This window comes from Homo sapiens, chromosome 17, assembly GCF_000001405.40.
Source record: "Homo sapiens chromosome 17, GRCh38.p14 Primary Assembly".
In the NCBI taxonomy this organism is placed as follows: Eukaryota; Metazoa; Chordata; class Mammalia; order Primates; family Hominidae; genus Homo; species Homo sapiens.
In genome coordinates, this window is record NC_000017.11 from 1007024 (window position 1) to 1028248 (window position 21225).

The following is a 21225-nucleotide window of genomic DNA, read 5'->3' on the forward strand; positions in this document are numbered from 1 at the left end:
TGCCAGGGTACCTGCGCCATGACGTCATGGGACCGTCACCCTCCGCCAGCCACGGGCCCGGGCGGTGCCAGGGTACCTGCGCCATGACGTCATGGGACCGTCACCCTCCGCCAGCCACGGGCCCGGGCGGTGCCAGGGTACCTGCGCCATGACGTCATGGGACCAGATGTCCGCAGCCGAGGTGAGGTGTGCTTTGCTCTCCACTTCTGAGGGTCTCAGTAACGTGGGTCCAAACACGGTAGCCAGGTTGTGAAGTGACATTTTGTTGATGGGCTCCTTCTCGGCAACCCTAAGAAGGAGAAGATGGGGAGGAAAGAAGCCCTTCCTCAGCAGCCACTCGGAGCTCCAGGACCCTTGGCCTTCGCTGTGGGAACTCCTGAAGGACTCCTGGAAGGGGTCACCTCGTCTCTGTCTCCTAGGAGTGGGGACCTCCCCCGGGGGAAGGGGACTCATCCAGGAGAGCAGGGCCCCAGCCATGTGCCAGTGTTCTGTGCTAACATCTCCAGCTGCTGGGTCCCCCTGAACTGATGGTGAACTGCCAGAGCCAGGGAGCCCACAGATGCCAACTCCAGCTCCCTTGCCTGAGAGCAGATACTGTTCTGAAAACTCCCTGGAACAACTCACACTCGCCGCAGTCCTTTGAGGTAAATATGATTATCGTCACCCCCATCGTGTAGATGAAGAAACCGAAGTACAGAGGGGTTAAGTGACTTGCCCAAGGTCACACAGCCAGCAACTGGTAGAGCTGGGATTTGAACCCCGGTAGCTGCCTCCAGGACCTACCGCTCTGTTGCTTTCTCATGTGCTAAGTGGCCCAAAAGAAGAGTTAAGGTGGGTGGGGCAGGGGAGAAAGGCAGGCAGGGCCTGGAGCCCAGCAGGAGTCACTAGCTAGACCCGGGGCTCTGCCAGCTGTGCTGGGGCAGGAGCAGCCCTACTTCCAGATGAGCCCGGGGACTGTCCCCCCGTGCCTGTCCGGAAAGGTCGGCCTCGTGGGACCCAGGGCTTCCTCTTGTGCCTCTCCGGAAGGGTCTGCCTCATGGGACCCAGGGCTGCCTCCTATGCCTCTCCGTCTGCCTCGTGGGACCCAGGATTGTCCTCCCTCTGGATCCTCTCCTGCTTCTCTTACTCAACAGGCCAGATGCTCTGCGATGCTTCCCTGGGGTAACAGCAGGAGCTGCCATCAGGGCTGGTGTCCAGGCAGGCCCAGGGTCAGCAAACATATCAGAGGGCCTCTGGTTCTCCTTCAGTCTCAAAAAATGTTTCTGGGCTGAGACCCACCCACCCTAAGCAGCGCCTCTCACCCTCAATACCATCATTCCCACCCTCCAGGCAGGAGCTGTGGCTGCGCCTGCTTTGGAAACAGGCAAACAAACACTGTGATGCCAACAGGCAGCTGTGCAGCGGGGCCAGCCCCTCACCACACGCGCGCACACGGTCCAGCCAGGGGCCCAGATGTGGGAACAGACTGTGCCCAGTTCCCAGGGTGGAAGCCGAATGAATTTTCCCTTCCCACTCCTCCCCACAAGGCTTGCCAAATGCTTTCGGAATTGGTTGGGGCTCTAGTCCTGGCCAAACCAGAGGAAAAATGTTTCATGATGGGAAAAACAAGACACCAGCCCCGGGCGCGTCCAGGTCTCCACTGGCTCTCCCGAGCCTGGCGTGGCTGAGCTGCAGCGGGGGGCCTGGCCCTGAGCTGGGGCTGAGCTCAGGGAAGAATTGTTCCGCAGAGCAGTCTGAGGGGGCTCCCCGGTCCTGGCGTGCAGGTGGGTTTAAGGGACGCCCAGGGACCACCTCCCCACGCAAGCCTGAGGACCTCTGAACTTTGCTACAAGTACAACCAACTTTAGCCACTCTTGGTTGGACCTGACTAGAAAGGGTGGTGGGAAGGCAAGAAGGGTCTGAATTTAGGATCTGGAAGTTGAGGGCTCTAAGGACAGGTCTGCTACTAACCCAAGCAAGTCTCCGCCTGGTGTGGGGACTCAGTTTCCCTATGTCTAGTGAGGTGTGGGCCAAGACCAGTGGGTTTCACCTTTTTTGACTGTGGCCCACAATACAACCCATGCTGTAACACAGTCCACACGTCTCTATGTAACTGAAAAGCAGCACCTGCATCAAGGCTTACAATGTATCCTCCTGCTGTCTGTCCCCCACTGCTGTCCATCCCCACTGCTGTCCATTCCCCCACTGCTGTCCATCCCCACTACTGTCCATTCCCCACTGCTGTCCACCCCCCACTGCTGTCCACCCCCCACTGCTGTCCACCCCCCACTGCATCTAGAAATGGCTACATTCGTTGAATGAACCACCAGTAGGTTGGGACCCACTGATTATAAAACCTGCCTGTAGTCCTGGGCTCTCACCCTGCCATTCTGAGCATTCTATGGTCAATATTTGAGGTTACTACTGGTTACGGGACCCAAATATTTCTCAAAACAGAAAAACATGAGTGCAAGAACTTGGAAAGCAAACTCTCACTCCCCACAGACAGCCCGATGGAGGCCAGCGCCCACGAGGAGGGACTGAGGAGGTGGGGTTGGGGCCACTCCCCGTTACCTTTTCACGAGGAGGGACTGAGGAGGTGGGGTTGGGGCCCCTCCCCGTTACCTTTTCATGAGGAGGGACTGAGGAGGTGGGGTTGGGGCCGCTCCCCGTTACCTTTTCAAGTGTTCCAGCAGGAAGAGGAAGGTGATGAGGTTGGGGTCGGGCAGGGAGCGGAGCAGGTGCATCATGCAGTTTTCCTTGGCAGCAGGGTCTGACAGGGCTGTGGGAGAGAAGGGCCAGTGTGGCGTTTGGCTCCTGGGGCTCCCCGCCAGGGCCCCTGTGGTCGTGAGGCTGTGGGCCCCTGCGGGAGAGAGCCCAGGCTTCCAGGCCTTTGGGGAGCAGACCCCACAGGGGAGGGCCTGGTGTCTGGGTGGGCTGTCAGCAGCTGCTTCCTCCAGGAGGCCCCACCACGACTGGTAACTCAGCCAGGAGGCCGGCTGGTGGGAGCAGACCCCCTTCCTGCAGCTGACTGCATAGGCCTTGGGTGCTGGGGCATCCCCTGTCTCGTAACAGGACACCCCCTGGTCTGTGTGGCTAAGGTTAAGCCAGTAGGGACATATCCTGCCAGCGGTGGATTCTCTTTCTCCACCCCTTCTGCTGCTGGAGCGTGGGTGCAAGCAGCCTTCCGTGGGGGCTGAAGCTCCAGTCTGCCCCAGGAGCAGAGAAGGCTGAAGGGATTCCTTGGGGCTGGGTTTGGCCCAGGTGGGTGGAGGCGGAAGGCCTGCTGGCCGGGGCCCTCCGCAGAGGTGACGGGACGGTGTGTGGTCCCGCTGGAAGGCTCAGCACAACCCATCTCGAGTGCCCTATGGCTTAAGCCAGCCTCCTCCTTGGTTCTGGGATGCTGGCTTCTGGCCACTCACCTCAGGGCAGTCTTCCCTGGATGCTCGAGCTTCCAAGCAAGAGGCCAACGTCCAAATAGGAAGCAGAAGGGGCTGCCCATGGGGACATCAGGGGCAAGAGGCAGGCGAGAAAGGGCCCAGTGTCTGCACCAGGTCCCAGCAGGCCACACCTCACCCTCGGACCCCTCAGCCACAGGCCCCAGTGCACTGGGAAGGTCAGCCAGCAAAGGAAGCCACAGATATTTCTCCTGCTGGTTACTTCTCCGGGCAGGGAGTCCTGGCTCAGTCTGGCCCAGCCCAGTCCTAGGAGCCCTCAGGGCCTCACCGATGCCCTCCATGAAGGCTGGGTAGAGTCGGTCCGTGAGGAGCGGCTCGGGCAGTTCCCGGAAGTACAGCTTGAGCGTCCCGGCGATGGCGTTGATGTCCATGTCACTCAGCATCAGCAGGATGTCCTTGTTATCTGCAGGGGTGGGGCCGAGGTCAGGCAGCCTTAGCTGGGCCAGCAGCCCCGTTCCACCCCCGACCCATCCTGACACAGCCCCCACCCACTCCAGCTCTGGTTCTGGTCTCCCCTGGAAGAGCAGGATGTAGAGAGGGCCCACAGGTGTCTGTGACTCGGCTCTGTGGGTCGGGGTTGGGGGAACAGGGAGAGATAGCCTGGGGGCCATCTGCTGTGGCTGCTTGGGAAAGGGTGTTTGGGGAGTGAAATCCATCACCCAGAGTTCAGAGCCACATTCATACCATGTGGCCTGCAGCTTCCTTCCGACTGGAACCTCTCCATCGCTAAGCCCCTCTCTGGAAGGCATTGCACACTTTTCACACGTAAAAGCATGTTCCGACAAAGCCTCAGCTTCTAGGCTGCACAGAGGCACCAACGCCGGCCAGTTCCCAGGCCCCACCCCGTCCTCCACTCCAGGCTCCCCACGGATTCATCCCTGCCTGGCCAGTGCAGGTTTCTTGACAGTGGGGTATGTGGCTGCTGCACCTGAACCAGCAGGAGCAGGGAGGAGAAACCAGAAAGGTCAGGCCTCACCATGGTGGGCTTCACGCAGAGGCAGCACTGCCCCAGAGGGGACCTGGGGCCCTGGAGACAGCAGGTGCAGGCTCAAAGCTCTTTCCCTGCGGCTCACCAGGCACCCAGGAACTAGCAAGAAAGACACTGGAGTCAGATCTGAGTTTTAAGTCCAGAACCAAAACCTACAAGTTGGGTCATCCTGGGCAAGTGAGTCGGCCCTTGTGAGTTTCTGCAGTTGCTTACCTGCAGCAAGGGACAAGAGATTGGAGGGGAGGGGATTACAAGAGAAAGCACTTGCCACGGGGACTCTGAAGCAGAGCAAGCCTCCTCTCCAGGGAGGCTCCTGGTTCCCCCGAGCTCTCCTGTCCATCCCACCAGCCTGCTCAGACACAGCCACACCTGCCCCGGCTGGGCCTCCCAGACTCACTGGCATCGAAGACGGCCTTGAGCGCCTGGATGTCCGTGGCCACGCCCGATATCCTGTAGATGCCAACCTCCTCGATACCCCTCTTCTCCACCTCCTCCACACACTGCCGGACGATGTAGGGCACCTTGGAGCGCTCCCGCCTGGGGTGGAGCGTGAGGATGGGTGGAGGGCAGCCCCCACGACAGCTCTCCCGTAGCAACCCCCACCCAGCACACACACACCCTGGAGAGCTTCTAGCATTTGGGATGGAGAGCTGGGGCGGGGGCAGGGGCAGGGCAGAGAAAGAGGCCACCGCACCCCACCCCAGCCAGCCCACCCGAGGCCTGCCGAAGGGGCATCGACGGACGTGGGCAGGAGAAGCCTTGGGAACTTGGGAAGGTAAGGCCGAGACTCTAGGGAAAGAACGTCCCCCAGATTCAGATGCTTGTAGGAGGCCCAGCAGGCAGCCCACATGAGGAGGTGGGTCAGGCCTGAGACAAGGGGCCAGGGTGGTGGTGAACCGGGGGACACGTGCCCTTTCCCGAGGGGCCGCCAGTCCCCGTTGGTGCCGAGCCCAAACGTAGGCCCCCGGCTGACAGAGCTTCCCGCTTGTTACGAGGAGCAGACGATCTGGGATCTCACAAGAGACCTTCCAGCGTTTAGGTGCTGGCTCGCGTGCTTCTGAAGTGTCCTGTGAGCGCCTCTGCGGCCACTCTAGATCCACACCGGCCATCTGCCACCGCCGAGCGGGGGGTAACTGATTAGGTGCCAGGATGGGCACCGGCGGGGAGGGCTGGGGGGCCCGGGCTGGGGGGGACCCGGGGCACCGACGCCAGGACTGGGAGACCCGAGGCAGCACCTACTTCGTCACCACGCTGATCTTCACACCGAAGACGCCGGTCTGCTTTTTGGACGGGGTCCTCTTCAGGCTCATATCTCGGCTGGTGAATTTCATGGAAAATTCCACTTTGATCTGGTTGGGGGGTGAGGCAGGTAAAGATTCCCCAGGGTGTGAGTGCCCGAGGAATGCCCCCAAAACACAGGGGTCCCCTCCCCAAGACTGCAAATGAGGGCTAGCTCACACCCAGGTCTCCCTCAACACAACACCTGCAGGACAGCAGCGGGCAGGGTGTGGGCAGGAGGGGAGAGGGGGCTGGGCTGCGGGGAGGTCGAGGCGGCACAGCGGCCCCAGGAGCAGCCACAGGGCCGGGCTGCCCACCTGCTGCACAGACGTTCCACCTCCCGGCTCACGCCACTGATCATTCCCATCCCCGGCTCACCCCGTTCATCTCAATCACGTCCGTGTGCCAGTTCTTGGTCTCCACGGTTTGTGGGTCCAGCTGCAGAGAGAGAATGTGGGTGAGAGAGGTGCCAGCTCGGAGGCCAAGCCAGAGATCTCCCCGTGGGTCAGCACTGCTCAGAGCCAGCTACACAGTCAGGAAGGCGGAAGTGAGCAGCTGGGATAAGCTGATGTTTACCTGGAAATCAACCCTTTGGGGGGACCCTAGCCCCCAGGCCCCTGTGGCCGCCGTGGGGGAGGCAGGGCACACCCTGTTACCCGCCGTGGGGGAGGCAGGGCACACCCTGTTACCCGCCGTGGGGGAGGCAGGGCACACTCTGTTACCCACCGTGGGGGAGGCAGGGCACACCCTGTTAGGCACTCCTGGCTGCCAGCCCGGGACATGGGTATTATTACCCCATTTCACAGATGCAGAAACTGAGGCTCACAAAAGGTAAGCACCTGATTAGGAGGCGCTCAAGTCCATCAGGAGGGAACCAGCCCATCCACGTGGAGGTGTTGAAGAGTCAGGAGCCCGCGCACAGGAGGCTGCCTGGGTTTGAATCCTGGCAAGTTTTAAACTCACTAAGCCTCAGTTATTCCATCTGCAACAGAACCTGCCTCCCTGGGATTGCTGGGAAGATTCAGGGAGAAAACTTGGGTCAAGCCATTGGCTCCCAAATAAGCAAATCCTCCACAGGGGAAGTCCCCAGGCTCGGGCTGGAGCCCAGGGAGGTGCGGACCCCAGGGGAGGTCAGAGGCAACCCTCACACAGGACTGTTCCACGTTCTGTTTCTGTAACTCGGGGGCCTTCGCGCCCGTCTGCCTGTGCACCTGCGAACTAATTCTGAGCAACTGTGCGCTCCCTGGCACTTTCTGAAGTCAAAATCTGAACATTTCCAAGTTTAAATAGTTGCAAAGAGTATGATTTCCAAAATCATGTCAATATTGCCATCCTAAAATAAAAGTGTGACATCATTCCTTCTCATGGATTCAGTGGGATCTAAATACCCCAGCGACGTGATACCCACACTCATCCATTTAAAAACTACACGAGGCCAGGCGTGGCGGCTCACGCCTGTAATCCCAGCACTTTGAGAGGCCAAGGCAGGCAGATCACGAGCTCAGGAGATCGAGACCATCCTGGCTAACACGGTGAAACCCCGTCTCTACTAAAAATACAAAAAATTAGCCGGGCGTGGTGGCGGGCGCCTGTAGTCCCAGCTACTTGGGAGGCTGAGGCAGGAGAATAGCGTGAACCCGGGAGGCAGAGCTTGCAGTGAGCCGAGATCGCGCCACTGCACTCCAGCCTGGGCGACAGAGCGAGACTCCGTCTCAAAAAAAAAGAAAAAACATCTAAACAATGTTGAAAAAGAACACAGCTATAGGGCTAATATTACCCAATTTCAGGGCTTATTATATAAAACTCTCAAAATTCAATATTAAGAAAACAGGCCAGGCACGGTGGCTCATGCCTGTAATCCCAGCACTTTGGGAGGCCGAGGGAGGCGGATCACGAGGTCAGGAGATCGAGACCATCCTGGCTAACACGGTGAAACCCCGTCTCTACTAAAAAAAAAAAAATACAAAAAATTAGCCGGGCGCGGTGGTGGGCGCCTGTAGTCCCAGCTGCTGGGGAGGCTGAGGCAGGAGAATGGCATGAACCCAGTAGGTGGAGGTTGCAGTGAGCGGAGATCACACCACTGCACTCCAGCCTGGGCGACAGAGTGAGACTCCGTCTCAAAAAAAACAACAACAACAAAAAACTACACAAACAAGCTCTTCTTTCCCTCACAGAGCTCCTGGATCTTCTCTCCTTGAATTTGTTTCTATTCCATTTCTCCTAAAGAATGTTGTCCTAGTTTATATTTTTATATTTTCAAGTCCTTTATTCACCATTACATTTTGCTTCCACAAAAAAAATCTGTATACATTGAAAACAAAAATTTCCAGAGACCACAAGGCTCCAAATATTCAAAATATATTCAGGATTAGTTAGTACCATGATTGGCAGTACATAATTAAAAAGACAGCCAGGCACGGTGGCTCACGCCTGTAATCCCAGCACTTTGGGAGGCTGAGGCTGGTGGATCACCTGAGGTCAGGAATTCGAGACCAGCCTGGCCAACATGACAAAACCCTGTCTCTACTAAAAATACAAAAGTGAGCCGGGTGTGGTGGCGGGCACTGTAGTCCAAGCTACTACTTGGGAGGCTGAGATGGAAGAATCGCTTGAACCCAGGAGGTGGAGGTTGCATTGAGCCAAGATCACACCACTGCACTCCAGCCTGGCGACAGAGTGAGACCCTGTCTCAAGAAAAAAAAAAAAAAAGTAAGCCGACACATTATATACATTTTATTTATTTTTTTGAGACAGAGTTTCGCTCTTATTGTCCAGGCCGGAGTGCAATGGTGCGATCTTGGCTCACAGCAACCTCCGCCTCCTGGGTTCAAGCGATTCTCCTGCCTCAGCCTCCCGAGTAGCTGGAATTACAGACACACACAACCACACCCGGCTAATTTTTTGTATTTTTAGTAGAGATGGGGTTTCTCCATGTTGGTCAGGCTGATCTCGAACTCCCGACCTCAGGTGATCCACCCGCCTCGGTCTCCCAAAGTGCTGGGATTACAGGCGTGAGCCACCGCGCCTGGCCTCATTATACATTTTAATAAATATTAAGTAGCAGAGTAACTTTTTGGTGGAATGCTCTCTCAATGAGATGGGCGGAACATTTTTTGCTTTAGTTCGCGTATCTATAGGGTATTATTTTTTGCTAGAGTGAAACGAGGCTCAGCATCAATTTGGTTCATGTTTCTGGTTTTGTTGTAAAGATGTGCAGGTGCTGTGGCTCCCAGCCACAGGACCACTTGAGCCCAGGAGTTCGAGACCAGCCTGGGCAATGTAGGACCATGTCTCTAAAATGAACAAGAAATATGTGAACAATGAAACATTTTGTTCACATAAAGAAGTAGATGAGGTCGAAAAGAGTTTTATCACAGCCGCGTTACACCATTCTTTAACCTCTCTCCATGCTATCCGCCTTAAATCGCATATATACCTATTACTGAAAATTACTTGAAATGATCTCTCAGTTGAAAATTGAGTCCTCCATCAGTTTTGTGGAAGGCAAAGAACTGGATACCACCTGACTTTTGAAAGGTTCTAAGTGGCCACTAGAGTCTTTTACTTTCTGAACACTGACCCCAACGTTTCTTTTTTTTTTTTTTTTTGAGACGGAGTCTCGCTCTGTCGCCCAGGCTGGAGTGCAGTGGTGCAGTCTCGGCTCACTGCAAGCTCCACCTCCCGGGTTCAAGTGATTCTCCTGCCTCAGCCTCCCGAGTAGCTGGGATTACAGGTGCCTGCCACCACGCCCAGCTAATTTTTTATTTGTAGTGGAGATGGGGTTTCACCATGTTGGCCAGGCTGGTCTCGAGCTCCTGACCTCAGGCGATCCACCTGCCTCGGCCTCCCAAAGTGCTGGGATTACAGGTGTGACCCACCATGCCTGGCCCCTACCCCAACATTTCTAAAAGCCCCTCTGTTCCCCACCCAGGAGGTCTGCGCACCCCGGGCCAAGCCCCGACAGCCAGCCTCAGGCCTCTCCTCTGCAGAGGACAGGATGGCGAGATGCTGGCTCTCAGGCAGATGGCTTTCTGGCAATAGCACCTATGGCAGCTGAGAATCTGCAAACTGATTTCCTGAAAACTCTCCTGCCCACGTCGCCCTCAGAACGTCTCTGTGCACTCTGAGGTGTGCGTGCCACGGTTTGAACGCAGTTGCTATAACAGGCCACTGTCATCACGGAAGGGAAACTGGATCTGGGTCAGCCTTGGGCTTCCTGCAGCTCGATGTAGGTCCTTCCCACATCTATCACCCACACACCGGCTGGGGGCAGGTGGTACCCAAGCCTCCGACGGGGTCTGGGTCTGCACTGGGTTCGCCCTGCCCAGAGAAGGGATGGAACCCAGAACAGGAGACAGAAGTTGGGTGTGTGCAGAGAACCAAGTGCCCCTCAGGGAGAACCACTGCTCCGGGCACCTCTTCACACACGGGAAGCGTGAGGCCATCACCAGCCCGGCTGGAGGCAGGGGTCCTACAGGGTCTCAAAGGAAGCCCCAGCTCTGGCCTTACTTTCCCGAAACCTCTCTCCCCTCTAAGCTGCTTCTGTTCTTTGCAAACCCTCCTGGATCACACAGGCTGTCCCTCGTAGTTCCTTCATCTCGTCTGGACACGGAGCCGGGCCTGGGTCTGTCCCCAGCTCTGTCCCCCAGCAGTAGCCACACAGGGTGGAGGAATCAAATGCTCTTTGTCAACTGAGATGCTACCCTTGGAAGAAACATTCTGGAGCGGCCATGCCCTCTTTTTTTTTTTTTTTTTTTTTTGAGACAGAGTTTCACTCTTGTTGCCCAGGCTGGAGTGCAGTGGTGTGATCTCGGCTGACTGCAACCCGTCTCCCAGGTTCAACCGATTCTTCTGCCTCAGCCTCCCAATTAGCTGGGACTACAGGTGCGCACCATCACACCCGGCTAATTTTTGTATTTTTAGTAGAGACAGGGTTTCACCATGTTGGCCAGGCTGGTCTCGAACTCCTGACCTCAAATGACCCACCCACCTTGGCCTCCCAAAGTGCTGGGATTACAAGTGTGAGCCACCATGCCTGGCCAATTTTTTTATTTTTAGTAGAGATGGGGTTTCACCATGTTGCCCAGGCTGGTCTTGAACTCCAGACCTCAGGTGGTCCGCCCACCTTGGCCTCCCAAAGTGCTGGGATGACAGGCGTGAGCCACCGCACTCGGCCTGTATTTATTTTTCTAGAGACAGGGTCTCACTGTGCCGTCCAGGCTGCTATGTTGCCCTGGGCTTCAGTGATCCTCCTGCCTCAGCCTCCTGAAGAGCTGGCATTACAGGCATGTACCACTGTGTGGGCCCTTATTTTTTATTTATTTATTTATTTTTGAGACGGAGTCTTGCTCTGTCGCCCAGGCTGGAGTGCTGTGGCGCGATCCTGGCTCACTGCAAGCTCCGCCTCCCGGGTTCACGCCATTCTCCTGCCTCAGCCTCCTGAGTAGCTGGGACTACAGGCGCCCGCCACCACCCCCGGCTAATTTTTTGTATTTTTAGTAGAGACGGGGTTTCACCGTGTTAGCCAGGATGGTCTTGATCTCCTGACCTCGTGATTCGCCCACCTCGGCCTCCCAAAGTGCTGGGATTACGGGCGTGAGCCACCACGCCTGGCCCGGGCCCTTATTTTTTAATTGACACATTGCAGTTGTATGTATTTATGGGGCGCAGTTCGATGTTTTGAGACCACCCCTTCTTGAGGCAGGTCTCTCCACACATCAGCATAAGCCTCAGGCCAATTCCATGGCCCCTGGTCCGATTCACCCACAGCCCCTCCTCCGCCCCAGCTTCCCACGACTGGGTGCCTCCTGGCAGCTTCTGCAGGAAGCTGAGCCAATGGTCCCTTCCCAAGTCTCAGGGGGACCTGGACACAACCTGGTCGGGGGGAGTGTGCAGGATTTGGAGGCAGGCTGATCTGAGTCTCCCATTCAACCGTGCGCACTCGGGCAAGGCCTTTCACCTCCGTGAACTTCAATTTCCTCATGGAGGCATCCACACCTGACTCACAGGGCTGTTATGGAAGAGTGAGAGCAACGGACTTATCTCGAGCTCTTCCTGCAAGTCTGACACTGATGAATCCTCTACACACAGCATCTGCGTTCATGATCATGATAGCAGACATATGCGGTTTAAGCTCTCATAGCCGCTCCCATCTCACAGATGAGGATGCTGCAGCTTAACGAGAGTGAGGAATTTACCCAGTGCACACCTAGGAAGTCAGAGCTGGGGTTCAAAATCAAGGCCCCCAGCACCCTCTCTGCTGAAACTGCAGAATGTGTGAAGTCCATGACCCGCAGCTGCTGTAACTGCTGCTTCCTCAGAAAGGCAACATCGGGCCTCCTGGTGTGTGTCCCGACCCGGTGGGCAGACCTGGTGCTGGGAGGCCACCCCCAGTACAGCCCTCCCGCTGCCTCGTGCCCATCACTTCCGCTCCAGCTGCCAGGTTCAACCTGGGCACATCTGACCCAGGACTGCACCTCCTGATGCTAAGGCCCAGTTCTCGCCCCGCCTCCTCCAGAGAGCCTTCTCGGAGAGCCCCAGGTCACAGTGGGAAACTTTGGGTCCTCTCTGCCTTCCTGCTCCACTAAGATCTACCCTCTGCAGCCTCCCAGGCGACACTTGCTGCTGTCTCACACACTCCAGCCCCTTCTGAGGCCAGGCCTGGGCCAGGGGCACTTTCCTAAGCTGTAAGCCCCTCAAGCCCTGACATCTTCCTGGTGCCTGCTGCAGGTGTGGCCCTGGTATCTGCTGCAGGTGTGGCCCTGGTGCCTGCTGCAGGTGTGGCCCTGGTATCCGCTCAGAGAGGCCTGCCTGGCCCCACGGTGCCCTGACAACGACGCTCTGTTTCCCAGGAGGCTATCAGCCTCCAGAAACCAAGTCTATTTCAGGATATCATTTAAACACAGAGGAGGGAGGGAGAGGCACAGCGTACATTTTCCAGAGAAACGCTGCTGCCCGCAACTGCGCTGGCTATTTATAACTCCTGGGAAATGTGGACTGTGCTATTTCCTGATGAGATTAGCACCGGGGTGGAGGGGCTGGCCCCTGGGACGTTGGTGGATGGGACACCTGACTGCTCACCCTCTGGTCCCAGCAGACAGGTGCCTTCCATGGGCCCAGGGGAGCAGGTACTTGGGGGATGTCTGATCACCTGAAGCAGGGAGACAGAGGGAGCTCGTGAAGGGTCAGGCTGGGAAGACCACCAGGGGCACACGAGCACTGGGGCCTCCCCAAGGTGGGCCACAGGCAGGAGACAGAAACAGGCTGCAAAACATCGTGGAGCCAAAAGGCGGACGAACGACTGGGCCAGGGGTCGACGACTGGGCCGTACATGGTCACTGAGAGCAGCTCAACTATTTCCTTCTTTTTTTTTTTTGAGACGGAGTCGCACTCTGTCGCCCAGGCTGGAGTGCAGTGGCGCGATCTCAGCTCACTGCAACCTCCACCTTCGGGTTCGAGCGATTCTCCTGCCTCAGCCTCCCGAGTAGCTGGGGCTACAGGCACGAGCCACCACGCCCGGCTAATTTTTGTATTTTTAGTAGAGACGGGGTTTCACCGTGTTGGCCAGGCTGGTCTCCAACTCCTGACCTCAGGTGATCCACCCGCCTCGGCCTCCCAAAGTGCTGGGATTCCAGGCGTGAGCCCCTGCATCCGGCCGACTGTTTTCTCTTTGTCTGGGCACTTCGCCTGGTCAAATCATGACTGCGCATTCAGGCCTCTCCCAAAGAGAAACGCTGGCGCTGGGGGCTCATGTCCAGGAGACGACCAGGTCCCCTGCGGCGAAAACCCAGCAGGCAGGGGCACCGGGTTGAAATGGGGCTCCGTCACCTCCGAGGGAGCAGGAGTGAAGACCCGAAGGTGAGCGTGGATTCTCTGCCAAGAATCCCGTAGGTGGCTGGTGGAGGTCGCCTCGCCTTTCTGGACCGAAGTGACCTCATGTTTGGGGCAGGAATCAGCAAAGTGGCCCCGCAGCGGGGAGAGGATTTGAGGCTCCAGGGCAGAGGGTGCTCCACGCACACCTGAGCGTCCTCCAGGGCTGAGTTTCAGGAACATCCTGGGGATGCCCCTGAGGGTCTCAGCCCTTCCTCTCGGCTCACCTCTCACCCCCTGGGGCAGGTGACCCCATTTCTCCTGCCTCTGCCCGGAGGGCTGCTCCCGGCCAGCTCCCCGTGCTCGGATTCAGGGGCACGCTCCCTCCGGTCTCCACTCCTGCTCCCTCGGAGGTGGCAGAGCCCCCATTCCAACCCAGTGCTCCTGCCTGCTGGGCCACACTCTCCACTCCAGCACGCAGCTCGCCCCAAGGTCTTCGGAGATGGTTTCCACCACCTCCCCTCCCACAAGCCCTCACCCAGGGCCCTTTAATCCACAGTAAGGGGCCTGTGGTGGCCCTGCCCAAGGCAGGTGGGACTTAGAACTGGCCACTGGGGGTCTCAGTGGAGGGGGGAGCAGAGGTCCCAAGCAGCCTTCAGTGGACGCCACTCAGGACGTGATCCAGGGGCTCACTGGACGACGGGAATCTGAAGACCACATTTGCCAGGGCCCCAAGAGCTCCCAGGCCTCCGCCTCCTTCCTGAAAGCCGCTTCCCTCAGGAGCCCACTCGGTCACTCCCACCGCCCAGGAGCTGACCCCCCGAGGAGCCCTGCCTCCAGGCACAGCCCTGCCCTCGGGGGCCGCCCCATCCTGCCTCTCACGGCTGGCGCTCTTCTACCCTCCACCCTCTGAGCCCCGGCATCCCAGAATGCGGGAGGGTTTCCCTCAGAGGGGGTTGCAGAGGTTCATAAAAAAAAGTGCTTCTTCAGCCAGGTGCGGTGGCTCACGCCTGTCATCCCAGCACTTTGGGAGGCCGAGGCGGGCGGATCACAAGGTCAGGAGATCGAGACCAACCTGACCAACGTGGCGAAACCCCGTCTCTACTAAAAATACAAAAATTAGCCAGGCGTGGTGGCGGGTGCCTGTAATCCCAGCTACTGGGGAGGCTGAGGCAGGAGAATCGCTTGAACCCGGGAGGCGGAGGTTGCAGTGAGCCGGAGTTGAGATTGTGCCACTGCACTCCAGCCTGGCGGCAGAAAAAAAAAAAAAATGCTTCTTCACAACAAAGGTGGTAAATCTGTTCCTGAGAGGTGGGACAGGAACGCTAGAAAATGACTCCCAGCCGGGCGCGGTGGCTCATGCCTGTAATCCCAGCACTCTGGGAGGCAGAGGCGGGCGGATCACTCGAGCTCAGGAGTTCGAGACCAGCCTGGCCAACCTGACGAAACCCCATCTCTACTAAAAATACAAAATTAGCCGGAAATCACTTGAACCCGGGAGGCAGGGGTTGCAGTGAGCCAAGATAGCACCACTGCACTCCAGCCTGGGCAACAGAGCAAGACTCTGTCTCAAAAAAAAAAAAAAAAAAACAGAAAATGACTCCAGAAGGACCTCAGTGCAAGTGGCCCCCGGACAGGGAACCACGTGGAAGGTGGAGCTGTGTGGGCACATTTCACGCCTGCCCTGGAGGGGCCGCGGAGCCCAGGCCCTGAGCCAGGCATCGGGTCTGAGGGTGGGCACGTTTCCTGGGGCTCCCAGGCCAGCGGCCACGGTGGCAGCCCGGGCTGGCTTTCCCCTGCCCTCCCCCAAGGGCAGCCCCACGCTCAGGGCTGGGTCCCCTTGGGACACCGAAGCCGGCCTGTCATTGGGGCAGACCACAGGCGTGAGAGGCACGGCGGGGCTGGCAAGCTGGCAACGGGGGAGACGGGAGTTGCCAAGACCCTGCCTCTCCTCCCTCGAGGAGGCGCCGGAGGATTCCGTCAACGTGACTGCTCCGAGCGACTCCGAGAGAGGCAGGGCAGAGAGGGAGGGGCTGCCAGGACCTACCCCTGGCTTCCAGCTCAGCAGCTGGGTTGGGGACACCGGGCCAGGCTCCATAAACTCTCCACACATCTTCCCATGGCTTGGCATCCACACTGCTAGGCCAGGCAGGCTCCGCCTCTCCAGCCCTCACCCTGCAGGGTCAGCCAGGCTCCCTTGTAGCCAAGGTGTCCTGCAGCCAAGGTGTGCCCACCTGCCATACCCAGGCCAGCCACAGATAGGCTCGGGCTGATGCCGTGTCCCAGGGCCTCGGCTGGCTTCCCCTCCAACACCAGAGAACTTCGAAGTTCCCCAAGCCTCATGGGAGGAAGGGGATTAGCAGCTCTGAACGACGCTTTTGTCCAAGGCAGGCTAGCCTCTTAGCACCCGCAGCAACCTGCCTTCCCCAGCGTCCATTCTAGCACCTCTGCCTGCCCCACGTCCGCTCCAGAGCCTCTGCCGGCCCCACGTCCACTGCAGAGCCTCTGCCTGCCCCACGTCCGCTCCAGCGCCTCTGCCGGCCCCACGTCCACTGCAGAGCCTCTGCCGGCCCCACGTCCACTACAGCGCCTCTGCCGGCCCCACGTCCACTCCAGCGCCTCTGCCGGCCCCACGTCCACTCCAGCGCCTCTGCCGGCCCCACGTCCACTCCAGAGCCTCTGCCTGCCCTGGCACCCACTTTGCTTTTAGCCCCCGGGCTGGGCATGGCTGACCTTGAGGAGAAGCAGACAAAATCCAAACCTGGGCTGCTCTTGGAGGCCCCACAGCCAGGCACATCTCCCCCAGCGGCCTAGGGCTCCGTCTTCCTCAGGGCCAGCCCACCCCACCACTGCCTCCCTGTGCAGGCAGCCTGGAGGCTTCAGCTTCAGCTCAGAACTGGGCTACAAATACCAGCCAGGAAGCCGGCCCTGCCCCAGCCCAGGGCAGGTCGAGGATGCCAGAGTGGCAAGGGCAGGGGCAGTGGGGCCCTCTTGAGAAAAGGAACAGGCCAGGGCCAAAGCAACACGGAGGCCCTGTCCTGAAAGGAAAGGGGCGCCCTCAGAGGTCAAAGTCCAAGATGAGAGGCCTTCTGTGGTCCTGACCAGGAAGCTTCACGCTGGAGGCCACGGGAAGGCCAAGGACCTGTCAGACCTCCATGGGCTCTGAAGCCTCGAGCTGGACCTGGAGTGGTTAAGAAACATTAACAGGGCTGGGCGCGGTGGTTCACACCTGTAATCCCAGCACTGTGGGAGGCCTAGGTGGGAGGATCACCTGAGGTCAGGAGTTCGAGACCAGCCTGGCCAACATGGAGAAACCCTGTCTCTACTAAAAATACAAAAATTACCCCGGCGTGGTGGCACATGCCTGTAAACCCAGCTACTCAGGGGGCTGAGGCAGGAGAACCGCTTGAACCCAGGAGGCGGAGGTTGCGGTGAGCCGAGATTGTGCCATTGTACTCCAGCCTGGGCGACAGAGCGAGACTCCATCTCAAAAAAAAAAAAAAAAAAAAAAAAAGCAGCATCAACAGCCTTCTCTGATACCAGCTTCACCCTCCCTGCCCGGGCCCAGAACACTTTCTGGGCATGGAGCTTGCTGCCGGGGACGTGAGGGGCTCCAGCAATTCCAGGGCCCAGGTCAGCTCTGAGCGGCCCCTCCCAGGCCTTGCCTTGCTCCGAGTCTCACGTTCAGTGGCGTCGTCGAGAAGAACCGTCTTGCCTGTTGCTATGCACAGCGTGCCAGGACGGGCACCACACTGATGCCTGACGGGCAGGAGCCCGGCGTCTCCAGACGCTCCCATCTGGGGCACGCAGCCCAACCCCAACCGGCCACGGAAGGCAGGACACCGCGGGTGAGAGCCTGCGCTGAGGCTGAGTGGCCGGGGTCTGAACGTCGCCCCTCGGCTAAGCCACTCACGTGACTTCATCTGAGTCACTCTCTGAGCCTCATTCCTCATATATAAAAACAGTCTGGGCCAGGCACGGGGGCTCCCGCCTGTAATCCAGCACTGTGGGAGGCGGAGGCAGGTGGATCCACTGAAGCCAGAAGTTCAACATCAGCCTGCGCAACATAACGAAACCTCGTCTTTACAAAAAATACAAAAATTAGCCAGGCATGTTGGTACATGCCTGTAGACCCAGCTACTTGGGAGGCTGAGGTGGGAGGATTGCTTGAGCCTGGGAGATGGAGGCTGCAGTGAGCCGAGATGGTGCCACTGCACTCCAGCCTGGGCGAGAGAGTGAGACTCCCACAAAAAAAAAAAAAAAAAAAATTAAAAATGTAAAACAAAATTCAAAACACATTTAGGCCTGGCGCAGTGACTCACGCCTGTAATCTCAGCACTTTGGGAAGCTGAGGCGGGTGGATCACCTGAGGTCAGGAGTTCAAGACCAGCCTGGCTAACACGGTGAAACCCCGTCTCTACTAAAAATACAAAAAATTAGCTGGGCGAGGTGGCGGGCGCCTGTAGTCCCAGCTACTCGGGAGGCTGAGGCAGGAGAATGGCGTGAACCCCAGGGGGCGGAGCCTGCAGTGAGCCAAGATTGCGCCACTGCACTCCAGCCTGGGCGACAGCGAGACTCCGTCTCAAAAAAAAAAAAAAAAAAATACAAAACTTGGCCGGGCGTGGTGGCGGGCACCTGTAATCCCAGCTACTCAGGAGGCTGAGGCAGGAGAATCGCTTGAACCCGGGAGGCGGAGGCTGCAGCGAGCCGAGATCGCGCCATTGCACTCCAGCCTGGGCGACACAGCAAGACTCTGTCTCAAAACAACAACAGCAAACAAAAACAAAAGAACCCAAACAAATAAATAAATAAACAGTGTGAATAACAGCACCTTGTAAGTGTCACCTCAGTTGCGTCACAGGCTAAGAATGATGCCTCGTACAGTACGTGTTCAAAACATATCGTCACAGAACTGTGCTTGAACACCCCGCGGCTTCCCACTGCATTCGGATTAAAGGCCCTGTCCTGAACCGCAGGGCCCCACGTCGCCTGGCCGCCGTCCCCTGACCCCACGTAACGCCCCACACTGTCCCCCTCTGCCTCTGAGCACACCTGCCTCGGGGTGTGGACCTTGCCGGTTCTTTGGCCTGGAATGCACTGCCCCCAGGTTTTTTATGGCTGAATTCTTCTTGTCATTTAAATCTTCGTTCAAAAGTGATCCTCTCAAGCCAGGCATCCCCCCGTCACTCTCTACTGCGTTACCCAGTTGTGTTTATTTTTTTCACAGCACTCATCTGACCGGCAAGGATCTCATTTGTTGACGGACTCCTCCTGCAGACAGGGTCTCGTCTGTCTCGGGCGCCTCTGTGTCCCTAGTTCCTGCAGGCCTGGCACGTGGAAGGTGCTCCGGCAATACTCACAGGCCAGAGGAACCAACTGGGGCATGGGGGAAGGAGGTGACAATGGCTCCCCGCCGGGGCTGCTTCAGGACAGGGCTCAAGAAGCCCTGTGTTCCCACTAAACCCCCTGCTCCCGTGTCCACTGAATGGCTGGCATTGGCCCAGGTGCAGCCCTGTGACAGACTCTCCCAGGGTGCTCAGGGTTTAAGGTTTAGGACTAGGAATCTTGAGACATGGCCAAGATCATCACATGAACTGGATTCCAGGAGATCATCCTGTTCAGCTCCTTCATTGAGCTGATACCAGAGAACCAGAGAGGCAAAGGGATGTACTCGCGGGCACACAGCAGTTAAGTAGCAGACTGAGACGAGAAAAATGGGAAACCTTGACTCCCACCGGCCTGGCGCCCTGTCTTCTCTGGCACCTTGTGCCACATGAGCCTGAGGGGCTGGGGACCCCGGAGGCCTCCCCGAGCACAGCCACGGCATCCAGGCATCGGATGGGAAGGGCGCTGTGGATGTCACGGCTCTGGCTGTGCCGGTCATCGGTACCAGCCCCGGCTGGGGTCACGGTCCAGAAAGGAGATCCCTCCAGATTTCGGCTCAGGAGCTGGTTCCGCTGTCTTGAAGCGGGACTGGGGAAGTCTCTGTGGGGATCCTGGGGCCTCCTGGCCTCTCTACAGAAGCCCAGGACCAGCTCCACGGGCCCCTCCCGCCTCTCCAGGGCCCATCCTGGAGGGCCAAGGGTCTACGGCTCACTGGACCCAGGACTGACGCTGCGTTTCTCCCCAGGGTGGGGCAGGCAGGTCACAGGCGCAGGGGACTGTCTGTTCCTCGAAGGTGCTGGGGGGCCGTCAGGACACAAACATCTTCCTGCCCCAGCATGAGTTCACAGGGGAAACGAGGTCAAAGAACAGCACCTGCTGACCAGTTCCCAACCACCTGGGCAGTGAGCGAGGCCACTCAGCAGAGGGCCAGGCCTCTCCAGCACCAGCGCCCTGTGGCCAACACCTGGCAGCTCCCCCAGACTCACACCTGCAGGCTTGGGGGCGCTTCCAAAATGCCTGGGGCAGCTCCCCCAGACTCACACCTGCAGGCTTGGGGGCTCCTTCCAAAATGCCTGGGGCAGCTCCCCCAGACTCACACCTGCAGGCTTGGGGGCTCCTTCCAAAATGCCTGGGGCAGCTCCCCCAGCCACACCTGCAGGCTTGGGGGCTCCTTCCAAAATGTCTGGGGCCTCATTGCCTCTGGGTACTACAGCAACACTGGGCTCAGGCAGCTTTGGCCTTTGAGGAACCCCCTTGATTGGCAGGTTCTCCTCTCCCTGGTCCAGAGCCATCCAAAAGCTGGGGCACCGCGCCCAGCACCGCTGGCTGGCCAAGCCGTCTGTGGCCTGCAGGGAGGCCGGGGAGGACCAGCGCCCTTCTACCCTCCCTAGGTACCAAGAAGCGGCACCTTGCCAAGTTCACTCAGAGCAGGGTTCCCGCCTTGATGTCTGCAGCCCCCTCTGAAGTCGCACACAGTGTGTGCATGGGGTGGCTCTGTGTCTGAGTGGCCTCCAGAACCTTCATCAGATTCTCAGAGTCCAGGGTTCCCGCTCTGCGGACTCAAGCAAGCCTCTTGGGAGCTGGCCTGGCAGAGAGATCAGAGAGTACTCATGAGGCCCCAGCAGTGAGGTCTGCCCACTCGGCAGGTGGGTAAGTGCTGTGGAAAAGAGGGAGGGTCGCCCGACCCCACTGCCAACCTGTCAGCCAGCCTGGCCGCAGTCAGGACCCACACATAGGCCCAGGAAGAGGTGGGCTGGTGTAGGGGCCTCCAGCTCTCGGGGGAGGCAGCACTGTAGTCCCCTGTCTGTGGCTGAGGGGTCGCTATGGGGGTGTGTGTGAACAGAGAAGACGCACGATGAAGCTTTCTTCCCACCGGGAAACAAGGAAGGGCGGTGGGCAGCCGGGCCAGGCCAGACTTCTATTGCAGAAGGCTGCGAGATCTTTCCTGACGCCCAGACTGGATTATAAAATAAAGTAGACGAGCCCAAGACATATCTGTATCTTGTACCCAGCACCTGTGTACCCTCGATGGCCAAGTGAGTGGTAGAGTGAACCTCTGGGGTGTGCACGTGGTCTGCACACCTGGTACCATCAAGAAGGAATAAACGACAGGCTCTGTGAGGGGTGGGGTTGTCCTGCGGTGGCGATCAAGCTGACAAAGAAAGGGACCCTTTCCTCCCCCCACCCCAAGACCGAGTCTCGCTCTGTTGCCCAGGCTGGAGTGCAGTGGCATGATCTCGGCTCACTGCAACCTCCACCTCCCAGGTTCAAGCGATGCTCCTGCCTCAGCCTCCCTAGCAGCTGGGATTACAGGTGCCCGCCACCATG

General features: G+C 58.4%; 1 protein-coding gene, 1 long non-coding RNA gene and 1 other non-coding gene across 9 annotated transcripts in view; 1 reads left to right on the forward strand and 2 right to left on the reverse strand.

The window, feature by feature from the left end:
* The window catches only part of ABR (ABR activator of RhoGEF and GTPase), a 226204-nt gene that overhangs the window by 3505 nt on the left and 201474 nt on the right, over positions 1 to 21225 (reverse strand). For all 7 annotated transcript variants that reach the window (NM_001322841.2, NM_001159746.3, NM_021962.5 and 4 more), the window contains 6 exons: positions 6082 to 6141; positions 5665 to 5774; positions 4823 to 4962; positions 3706 to 3840; positions 2656 to 2761; positions 142 to 289 (listed from right to left, as the gene is read on the reverse strand). In NM_001322841.2, coding sequence (NP_001309770.1) covers positions 142 to 289; positions 2656 to 2761; positions 3706 to 3840; positions 4823 to 4962; positions 5665 to 5774; positions 6082 to 6141 — 699 coding nt within the window. The remainder of the gene's footprint in view (positions 1 to 141; positions 290 to 2655; positions 2762 to 3705; positions 3841 to 4822; positions 4963 to 5664; positions 5775 to 6081; positions 6142 to 21225) is intronic.
* LOC105371481 (uncharacterized) lies at positions 5774 to 7058 on the forward strand. The gene is made up of 2 exons (XR_934143.3): positions 5774 to 6250; positions 6510 to 7058. It is a non-coding gene; the product is annotated as an uncharacterized LOC105371481 (long non-coding RNA).
* On the reverse strand, positions 15453 to 15536 carry MIR3183 (microRNA 3183). The gene has a single exon (NR_036148.1). It is a non-coding gene; the product is annotated as a microRNA 3183 (primary transcript).